This window comes from Homo sapiens, chromosome X (assembly GCF_000001405.40).
Source record: "Homo sapiens chromosome X, GRCh38.p14 Primary Assembly".
Classification (NCBI taxonomy): Eukaryota; Metazoa; Chordata; class Mammalia; order Primates; family Hominidae; genus Homo; species Homo sapiens.
The window spans coordinates 101,547,079-101,558,956 of record NC_000023.11 but is presented as its reverse complement, the minus strand read 5'-3'; the positions used below and the strand labels follow the sequence as shown (position 1 = coordinate 101,558,956).

General features: G+C 42.1%; 1 protein-coding gene across 1 annotated transcript; it reads right to left on the bottom strand.

Annotated features, from left to right (window-relative positions):
* Nucleotides 4,257-8,410, bottom strand: ARMCX1 (armadillo repeat containing X-linked 1). Its single transcript, NM_016608.2, has 4 exons — nt 8,297-8,410; nt 7,933-7,986; nt 7,324-7,388; nt 4,257-6,148 (listed from the first exon to the last, which is right to left on the bottom strand). Exon 4 carries the CDS (start codon nt 6,024-6,026, stop codon nt 4,665-4,667), a length of 1,362 nt encoding a protein of 453 aa, NP_057692.1. The 5' UTR covers nt 6,027-6,148; nt 7,324-7,388; nt 7,933-7,986; nt 8,297-8,410; the 3' UTR covers nt 4,257-4,664.

Genomic DNA, 11,878 nt, shown 5'->3' with positions numbered 1-11,878 from the left:
CATAATTATTTTGTATACCACTAAGAAGGAAAAGTAGGCCAGGCACAGTGGCTCACGCCTGTAATCCCAGCACTTTGGGAGGCCAAGGCAGGCAGATCATCTGAGGTCAGGAGTTCAAGACCAGCCTGGCCAACATGATGAAACCCCATCTCTACTAAAAATACAAAAAATTAGCTGGGCATGATGGCGGGCGCCTGTAATCCCAGCTACTCAGGAGGCTGAGGCAGGAGAATTGCTTGAACCCGGGAGGCAGAGGTTGCAGTAAGCCAAGATCGCGCCATTGCACTCCAGCCTGGGCAACAAGAGCAAAACTCTGTCTCAAAAATAAATAAATAAATAAATAAATTATTAATTAATTAAATTAAAATTAAGAAAAATACTTCTAATTAAACTATGACACGATGCTAAGGTGTCATCAATTGTAAGTGCATCATAATTTTGGAGATACTAAACAAGTCTATCTTATGATCAATGAATACAATAGTGCTGCTTAATACCATGACAATAGTTAATATAAACCCAAAATTTGGCTCCAAAATCACTGGGTAACACGTTAAAATACAGAATATATTTATAATGAATTTCTTTAAATTATCAGTGACCTGCAAACAACATTTAAAAGACATTTCTAGGGAACTTGTGAAACCTAAAAACAGGTACACGCATTCCTGATATTCCACCAATACTACTTTGAGAAACATTGACTTAGGCTTCATGTCTAAACCACAGTAACATCACTGAGACATCAGAAATGTTGTAGAAATTGACAAGATCACTACAAGGAAGCATTCTCAATTCTTAAAAGAGAACAAAGACCCTACTCCTAAGAAAAATTATTTTAACAGTTTATTTATCAAATGCCACTTGTGTATGGTAGAATGACACCTTAGAAAAAAAAGGTAAACCAAAAATTTTCAACTCTGTCTTTTTGGAAACTAGGGGTGTTCACTTTCAGTAATTAACTGCTATGTTCCAACACTATTTTAGCATTTTACATACATTACTCCAATGTGACATTATCCACATCTTCACAATACATCTATCATTTTAATGCATCTCCCTTTTTGGTGTAAATATTTTCCACTCAGTATGTGTTCCAAAAATATCCATATAAACTCTGCCCATTCTATCATCTCCTTAATTTCCAACCTTACCTGAATTCGACATTTTTCTTTCCCAACAATTACACAACTCAACATCTATTATAGATAACAAAACATAGATAAGAAAAAAAGAATAAATATTAAATTAATACAGTATCATTTTACCAATAAATAACTACTTTTCTCATTTGGGTATATAGCCTTTCAGAAGTTTCAATGCATACAAAGCTTGACACTTCTCAAAAATGGGATATACTGTGTTTACAGTCATGTAACCACCTTTTCCATTTAAGATTATATGCTGCACTTTTTCCATGTAAATAAACGTAGATGTCAATCAATATTTTCAATGGCTGCAGAATATTTAAATATGCAGATATATCTTAATTTTATGAGTAAAAAGTCGATAAAATCACCCATAGAGAACTAATAACATTCTCGGAGTATGCAGCAGAGTTTATGCAGAGATAATTTAGATATGTTTTCTTCATAAAAAGTGTGGCATGTGATTTTACAGCCTACTTTTCCCACTTAAGATTATATGCTGATGTTCTCTCTTATTTGTGGGAGCTAAAAATTCAAACAATTGAACTCATAAGAGAGTAGAATGATGGTTACCAGAGGCTGGGAAGGGTAGTGGGGGACTGAGGGGAAGTGGGAATGCTTAATGGGTACAAAAAATGGTTAGACTACAGAATGGGAGAAAATTTTTGCAATCTACTCATCTGACAATGGTCTAATATCCAAAACCTACAAGGAACTTACACAAATTTACAAGAAAAAAACAAAGGACACCATCAAAAAGTGGGCAAAGTATATGAACAGACACTTCTCAAAAGGAGATATTTATGTGGCCAACAAACATGAAAAAAGGCTCAACATCACTGATCATTAGAGAAATGCAAATCAAAACCACAATGAGATACCACCTCACACTAGTCAGAATGGCTATTATTAAAAAGTCAAGAACCAATAGATTCTGGCAAGGCTGTGGAGAAATAGGAACACTTTTACACGGTTGGTGAGAATGTAAATTAGTTCAACCATTGTGGAAGACAGTGTGGTGATTCCTCAAGGATCTAGAACCAGAAATACCTTTTGACCCAGCAATCCTGTTACTGGGTACATACCCAAACGATTATAAATCATTCTACTATAAGGACACATGCATGCATGTTTATTGCAGCACTATTTACAATAGCAAAGACATGGAACCAACCCAAATGCCCATCAATGATAGACTGGATAAAGAAAATGTGGTACATATACACCATGGAATACTATGCAGCCATAAAAAGTAATGAGATCATGTCATTTGCAGGGACATGGATGAAGTTGGAATCCATCATCCTCAGCAAACTAACACAGGAACAAAAAACCAAACACCGTATGTTCTCACTCGTAAGTGGGAGTTGAACAATGAGGACACATGGACACAGAGAGGGGAACAACACATGCCAGGGCCTGTTGGGGGGTAGGGGGCGAGGAGAAGGAACCTAGATGACGGGTTAATAGGTGCAGCAAATCACCATGGCACACGTACACCTATGTAACAAACCTGCACGTTCTGCACATGTATCCCGGAACTTAAAGTAAAATAAAAATTAAAAATAAATAAATAAATAAAACTAAATAGTTAGAAATAATGAATAAGATCTAGTATTCGATAGCACAACAGGGTGACTATAGTCAATAATAATTTAATTGTACATTGTAAAAAAGCTAAAAGAGTACAACTGGATTGTTTGCAACACAAAGGATAAATGCTTGAGGTGATCGATACCCCATTAACCCTGATGTGATGATTACACATTGCATGCCTGTATCAGAATATCTCATGTAATTCATAAATATATACACCTATTATGTACCCACAAAAATTAAAAATTAATTTTTTAAAAAAAACTATATGCTGAATTTCTAATATAGGTAACTGTAGATGTCCACCAACATTTTCAATAGCTGCATAATATTTAAATGTGTGGACATACATTAATTTATTTAGCTAACTGCCTATCTTGAGATACTTGGGTCATTTACAACTTTTCACCCTTCAATCAGTTTAAAGATGCATAGCTTCCTACAAGCCAATTATGTGATTATTTCCTAAAGATACATTTCTATAAGTGGAATTACAGGGTTAAAGGATGTGCATATATTCCAATGGACCTTGTACCAGTGTATACTCCCACCAGCAGTTTGAGAGTGCTCCTCCCCTGACACCCTCACCCTCACTACGGCGTAGGAGCGAGGTAGATCTTCTATGTGTATCCCAACAACACTCTCTATGGTTCCATAAAGGCCCCACCTTAATCATTAATCAACCTTATAAAGGAAATCTGATACAAGCACTAAAACTTATGCTTTCTTGTTATTTCAAAGTTGTAAATGTTTACTTACATAGATACCAGAACTGGCTAAGAGGACATTTTCCTGTCAAATGCCCCAGGACCCAAAATAAAATTGGTCCTCTTTGTATGTCTCCAGAATACATTTAAGCACTTTTTGGTTCAAAAGATCTCTCATTTCCATCCTCTCTTTACCATTCCCATGGCCACCAGTAAAATTTCACACCTTTATTATCTCATGTCTGGACTAAGTTGTGTAGCTTCCTGTTTTTCCAATCTCCAGTCACCACTCCTATCCCCACCCCAGCTTGGACTCATGCTGCACATAAATCTACCATATCGTTTTCCTTTCATCTTGTCATTCCTCTGGTCACAAAAGGCCTTGATGTCTCCCAGGGGTGGATGCAATAATATTCAGACACCCCAGTTTAGCAGTTAGGGGTGCTCCACGAACAGGACTTACCTCTACTGCCTGACTCTCTCTCGTCACTCCCCTCCCTACATTTCCATTCCAGCAGGCCAGCACTTCTCTCTGGAGAAGGATTCCCACCTCCATGCCTTTCTTCTCATCCCTCCTCCCATCTTGAGTGCCCTTCTGACTTTTTGTATCCTATCCTTCACACCCAGCTTACTTAAGAGTTCTCCTCTGCAAAACTTTCCTTGAGCACTGTGGCCTGCAGCTGTTTCTGCTGCCTCTAAGCACTGATGGTCTCCCGGTTTTGTTAATATCTCTTTGTTTTAGTTTCCATATATCTTACCTTTCCAAACAGATCATAAACTCAAGGACAAGGACAAGGACAACGTCTTTTTTTTTTCTGCTGCTTAAAACACAACTTTATTGATGAAACACAAGTCTTAGAATAACAAATATAAACTAATATAAAAGTGTAGCTTATGCATGATGTATAACCAATTCATTGTCAGTTTAGGTAGAGGAAAGATTAAAAAATCTCAATCTAGGTAATAAGATCAAATCAATAAATTCTTTCTGTGTACAAATACTAATATTTCATTTGGCATCCTTAAAATGGTTCATCCTAAACCCAACCATTACAACCAACATCAGTCACTGTTATGATATATGATAGTCATTATTCCAAAATAGCAGCTGAAAAGATCTCTTTACCATATACGCACAATGAAAAACAAAGAATTTACAAATCACATCGTACCAACTGCAAATATCTCAATATTGTTTGGGACAGACTCCAAATTAGAGTTTGGTTAATACTTTCAGGACTTTTACTTTCACCACCAGATCATTGTGATTTGCTAGTGCTTTGATTTTCTTAACACAAACTCCAGACTCTTTGAATAAGAAAAAAAGTGAACTTCTGCTGAATTCTTTCCTGGATGATGCGAGCCCTTCATTTTTTATGTTGTCATTTATATTCTCAAATAGGGTAAGGATATTAAGAAGAATCTCTCTATCCCATTCTTTATTAAAGAGGGAAATCAATTCTGATGGTACTTTACAACTGACCAGCTCTCTTGTCATGGCTGGATTTTCAGTAAAGTTTATAATTAGTTTCATAATCTGTATCTTGGTGAAGTGATTTCCCAGGAATAACAAAGCAAAAAAGTCTGGAAAAGAATAGGAAAGCAAATGTTGGTAATGATTAGTCACAGTCATGTTGGTTAACAGTCTTAGCCCAGCCATCTGCACAGCTGAGTCCAAGCGACAGACCATGGTGTCATCACACACTTGACTGATGTACGTCTTAATCTTGCCCTGATTTTCTGCGTTCACACTCAAGTTATTAAGGGCATTGTAAGTCTTTTCCCTAATTATGGGGTCTTTTGTTTTTATCAGTTTTGCAATAATTGGGACACCACCCAATTCACGTATGGCATTCTGGTTAAATGAATATGCTGCATTGTTACCCAGAGTGACCAAGGCTACTTCTTGAATAAAAGGATCATTTGTTCGCTCCAGGATGTTGAGGACCTTTTGGAGGTCGGGAGCACTCAGAATATCATCAATTTTATAAGGAAAGTTGAACTTGCCTCTCCGGACAGGCCATGTTGTAGCTGGAGCCCTGGTGCTCTTACTTCGGGCCTTTCCCTTGGATTTTCCACTTGCCCTGCCCCCGGCCCTAGATCCACTCCTGGTGGGGTGGCAGCCTCCACCCCTGCCTCCTGGGCAGGGTAAACTCGGTGCAAGGGTCCTGTTCCCAGAGATGGTACCCACCCTAGCCCCTTTGCCTGCCTTTGCACTTGCCTGTTCCTTCAGCGTGTTGAAAAGGGCCTTGGCCTTGGCCTCTAGGCCACCTCCGCTGTGGGATCCTGAATGGGCCTTCTCTTTTACACCCGGACAATCCTCGAGTCCCAAACTCACCTCAGGCTTGACCTCTGAATCACCCTGAAGTTTGGCCCCAGACCCTGCCCCAGCGTTAGTTTTAGCTCCTTTCACAGTCTCAACCCCAATCTCTGAGGTGTCCGTAGACTCCTCGTCTTCGTCCCAGATTTTCTCGTTCTCGTCTCTTCCCCAAGCCAGTCTGTATACACAGTAGCAGGCACCAGCCCCGATAACCACACCAGCGGCCACGCAGCCAGCTTCCCGAGTGCGGCCCATGGTATAGCTGGGACAAATCTCTTAACCCGAGCACAAAACAGGCTCGCTCTGGCCCAGAGAAGCGCGCACACGTCGCGGGCGGAGTCTGCAGCTACTGCGGGCCGGCTCTGAGGCAGCTCGACCTAGGAATAAAGGATGCATTTCAGATTTCAGGCTCCTTTTTGTGTCTTTGAACGCAAACAGACTGAAACAACAACAAAACAAACAAACGTACAAAAATACAGAGATACTGGCAGAGACTCGGGGCTTGATATCTAGATCACTGATTCCTTTCTTCCACCCGGAAGCTAAGTTTGGAAATTTTCCCCGCTTAAAGACTCTCCAACCTCACGTTCCACCACCCCACCCTAGAACGTTAAAGTTCCCTGCCACCCCTGCCCTTCCAGATGTCCTGTGAACAGTGGCGCCCTCACATGCACCCACAGAGGTCCAGGCAGTTTTTTTTCCTTCTCTTTCTTGCTTCCAAGTGCACTGCTTCGTGCAAACCTGCAGACCAAGGGCGCGGGGAGAGGGGTACTGAGAGCTCTGGGTACATATAGATCTCACCCGGGACGGGGCACACATCCCTCTTCTGAATTCCTAGCCCTTTACAACTGCCTTGCCCAATGTTTCCCGCCTTCGGTTACCCTCCTCTCCTCACAGAGCTGCGGCTTTGGAATTCATTATCTCCCTCCCTCTTCCTCCTTCGATGATTCCTCTAACCCTCCATTCCACCTCCACCCCTACTCCCATCATTGGCATCCTCCGAAGATGTCGCCACACATTTTCATCGTTAACATTTTCCTTGTAACAAAATGAAGTGAGAATATCTAAAAGCCGTACTGGCGTGAAATGCCTAAAGGTCTCCAACTCCGCCCTTGCCTCCGCCAACTCCTCCATCTCAAATGTACCAGGACACCGCCGCCCCCCCCCCCCACCCCGTGTCATTATACCAACTACCTCTGCTCCGGAGCAATTTCTTACCTCCCTCACCTCGGTTTCCGCTTCCACTAAACCTTCAAGACTGACAAACTTCAGAAGTGAGTGCTTGGTCGACGGACCAACACCAAGGACCCTGTACCCCAAACAGTAATTTGGAGTAACGTCCTCCCAACCCCTGGACTCTCTTGACGCCCACCCCTTCTCAGCTATTTTCTTCCCTGTCTTGTACTTGCAGAACAATTTCTTTTGCAAGCTCCGAAATGGTGTAGATAAGAGGGAAGGAGGGGGATATGGAAGGGGTCCACGGGCCCATTCGAGTTGCAGTCGCCACCATGCTCCACCCCCAAATAATGCCATCACCCTTATTATGACCTACTTGGTTCTTGACAACTTTGCGTTTCTTCCTGCTCCAAGGGTTGGACTGGCCTCCGGCCCCAAGATCTGCAGACACAGGCAACAAGGCAGAAACTGAAGGCTCAGCGGACAGAAAAGCACTTCGGGGAGTCCCAATATCCACTTCTCCTAATTCAGGGTCCTGGCTGTCAATGGATTTTACCTTTTTGTTTCTCACCCTACCCTCACTTCTCTGGACTCCGCTGACACCAGCCCTGTCGCTTGGTAGTGTTCCCCTACCCCCGTCCCCGCCCCCGGCCCTCACTCCCTCCCGCAGCCCCAGCGGTCGGCCATTTTCCCAGCAAAACCACACCCCTTTCAAACCACTGGAAGCGGGGCGGGGCGAGGGGGGATATGGAAAATCCGAGGAGAAAAACAAAACCAACCGATCTCTTCTATTCCTCTCCCCAACGCACCCTACCCGCAATCACAAGCACTTTTCCTGCAGCCACTGTTACATCCTCTTTTACTGAAGAAAAAAAAAATGGCAGGAAGATTGCTTGAGAGTCGGTAAAGGGCCCAAGTTAAGGCAAGGACCTCAGTCATCCCAGTCCTTCTGGGCGCCGCGGGACAGCTCCAGCTTTACACTGACCTGCAGGGATTCCAGGCAGACTATTCCTTTGTTCCCAAATGGCACAGCGTCCTACTGAAAGAAAAGGGGTATGACTGTCAGACGCACAGCCCCAAGATTCTGGCTTGGTAGATGGGCCAGCACACAGGACATGAATCCGAATATCCGCCCTCCCTGATTCAAGGCCCTGGATGTTAAAGGTCCCACGACGCCCGAGTCTGGGGTCGCCCCTGGAATCCGGCCCCAAGGTCTACCATTTTTGTTCTAGAAAGGGCAAGGGATACTGCAAGGGTTTGGAGAAAGTGAACTGTGCTCCCCCTTCGGCCTCCACGGTTCACTGCCCGCGCCGCAGGGATCCCCTGGCAACGCCCATCCACACACAAACCTGCTGGGATCCAGGCAGAACCTCGTCCTCCTTCCCCCAGGCCACAGGCCCTCTCGCCCTCTGGGCTATAGGAAGAGTGCAACCGGACCAAACGAAGACTAGGATTAGAAGGACGTCTGCACGCGTCGGCTCCAGCTCACGTGAGGGCCACGTCAACCATGAGATCAGGACCCCAATTACCACTCCCATCAGCAGCGCCGCAGAAGCCGGCCCTCCCCTTCCTTCCCTGACACATCAGGTCCTGTCACTCATTTTCCTCTTTGCCAACCCCGGAGACTAGAAGTAGCTTCTCTTTGTGGTGAATTTGCCTTTCTTTGGTTTACAGGGAGAGGCTGTATCTGCTCCCGTGTCCGTTGGCCTTTTCTTCCTCTTCGAGGAATAATTTTTTATCTTCTCTAGTCCCAGTCCAACTGTCTCTCTCTATACCTCCCCCCATCACAAGTCATGAATGTCCTATTTCTTCTGCACCCCTGTAAAATGTGGAGCAAGATGTTAGAAAAGGAGATAGATCGTGGGAGTGTCTTATTTAAACTTTTCTGCTCATTTGTTTTTAAATCAGTAACGCATTACTTTTATATTGAGAAAATAAAATGATGCTATTTTCCTTTGAGTGGAGAGTTTAAACGGGAGAGAAAACCCAAAAGGCCTCATTAATTTCGTTATTTTATTTGTAACAGTAGGAAAATATTTCTACTGGTTACAGCCAATTAGTAGCTTTTAAAACAAAATAACTCATTTTAAAATTGAAAAGTGGGCTGAGGTGGGTGGATTGCTGGAGCCCAGGAGTTTAAGGCTGCAGTGAGCTATGATGTCACCACTGCACTCCAGCCTGGGTGACAGAGAGCAAGCCTCTATCTCTTAAAAAAAATGGATTTTTTTTACATGATCTATGAATTACTCCACAAAGAGACGACCAGTTGTCTAATCTTGGCCATTTTACACAAATAATTCCTTACTTTTTCTATTTTTGAATCAACTTGCAATTTGATAAGTTAAAGCAACACAACCCTGTCTTATTAAATTAAAGAAAAGCATGTATTTAACGTCCCAAAGTCTTGACCGACTGTTATATGAACCTCTTGTGATTTGATGGCTACTCTGATCACCTGCCTCTGAATTGAATTCCAGTCTACCAAGGCTGAGGCACCTGAGGGTGTGAGGGATGCAGCGATGTTCTAATCCTTCCTGCCCTGTCAAGAGCGGAAGAAGGTGCTGCCCTCCCACCCTTCCACATTCCATAGCCTCTCATCCCCTGTATTCAGGCACCCATCTATTGTTCACTCCAAAAATATATATAGATGAGTGACCAAGGTGGTAAATGCCACGTTTACTCAGGTGACCAATCAGAGTAAATACCTTTGGCTCCTTCCCTTCCTTCCCCAAATTCCCACAGAGGTAACAGCAATGCATCGAAGGGCTTTCTGTTCCTACCTACCCCTCTGCCCTTATTCATGGTGCCTGAGTGAGCATTGCTCCTAATACTGTGTGCTGCCACCACCTGACCTGAGAGGTGCAGCCCGCTGGGCTTCTTGCCTCTGGCTTCCTTAAAAAGAGAACCTAATCTTGTTGCAGAGTTACTGCCTGCCAGTCCATATCCACCTTGGTGCCCGCTCAGCCAAATGTATGCCTAAGGAACAATCCCCATGGATTAACCCAGAGTAGGCATTCTCACACGGACAACCTTGTGGACCACCTGCAATTGTGGTCATACGTATATTCATTTTCGTGGAGAAAGGAGCCATAGCTTTCATCAGATTCTCACAGGCATGTATGACTTTTAAAAAATAACTAAGAACTATTAATACTTTCCTGAAAAAAAGCTATATATCCCCTCAATAGAAAATCTACTCCTTCCCAGCACTGTGGGAGGCTGAAGCTGGCAGATCACTTGAGGTCAGGAGTTCGAGACCAGCCTGGCCAGCATGGTAAAACGCCATCTTTATTAAAAATACAAAAATTAGCCGGGAATGGTGGCACGAACCTGTAGTCCCAGCTACTTGGGAGGCTGAGGAAGGAGAATTGCTTGAACCCAGGAGGCATAGGTTGCAGTGAGTTGAGATTGTGCCATTGCACTCCAGCCTGGGCAACAGAGCAAGACTCCATCTCAAAAAAAAAAAGAAAAAGAAAAAGAAAGTCTATTCCTCTCCCCTCTTCTCTGTCTCTAGTTATATACTTATTTTTTTAAGTGCAGAAATCTGTAGAGTAGAATGCAAAACTGCCCTGCAATGCCTATTCTACCACCAAGCACTTTCAATGATATCGACCTTTCTTCCTGCAAATATACAGTATATGTATGTGGATGTGTCAAGTTCCAAGTTGAACAATATGCAAAACAAAACAATTGACATTTACTGCAGTACTTGCAATAAATCTGCACTTTAATTGGAGAATTTACATCTTTAAAAATGGAGTCTTTCTATCCATGCCAACTTTTGAGATTTTCAATAAATGTGATGTTTCTTTATACTCATTTCTTATTATGTTTGTGTTTTGTTTATATGAATGACATTCCCATTATGATTACACATTCTACCTGGTTATTGTTTGTCTCAGGTAAAGTAATTAATTATGATATATTTATCTTTAGTGACCATTCTTATTATTTCTAATAGTTTTTTCATCGATACTTTTGGTTTTTCCAGGTATGCATGCATAATATCTGCAAATGATGATTTTTCATTTCTTCTTTTCCAGTATTTATATTCTTTATTCTTTTATTTTCTGCATGTATTCCATTGACCAGAACCTGCAGAACTAGTTTGAATGATAATGGTGATTGAGGGCCTCCAGATCTTATTCTTGAAGAAAATGGGAGTGTCCTTAGTATTTCATTGTTTAGTGCAACCTGACATTTGCTGTTTGTTTTTCATGTGTTCTTCTTCATCTGTGTATGGATGATTTGGGGGATGCCTAAAGGTGCACTTTTATAACCCTTTATATAAGACTGAGGAAAATTAAATTGTCCATATCATAATACTGGGAAGGAGAGGAAATAGGGAGAGCGGCCACAAGTGCTGAGCTTATGGGGAATGTATTGGTGAGCAAAAACAACACAGACTCTTCTCTCGTGGTGGAAATAAGACCTTAATAAAATGAGCGCATACACACACACACACACACACACACACACACACACACACACACACAGAGAGAGAGAAAAATACTGTAAAGGAAAAAACCTCTGTTAATATCGTTTTTAAAAAAGGGGCATAGTCTGAGGATCAGGGAAAGTTTCCTTGCTGGGGCAGAGAGAGTGAAGTTTTCAGCTGAGATGAAGAAAAGCAGGTGGTAACTAGGAAAAGAGGGGAACAGAAAATAAAAAATCTCAACTTCCCCACCCCTCTGATAACTACTGTGATAACCAATCTACTTCAATCCTAGGATAAATCCTATGAAAACCACTGTTAATTTTTCAGGTGACTCTTTCCAGGTTTTGTTGTTGTTTCACATATATTACTAAAAAATATATGTAGATACATTATGTGTGTGTGTACACATATATCTTTCTAAAATAATTTGGGATTATACTATGCATATTATTCTGCATAACTATTTTTTTCACCTGATATATCATGTGAATCT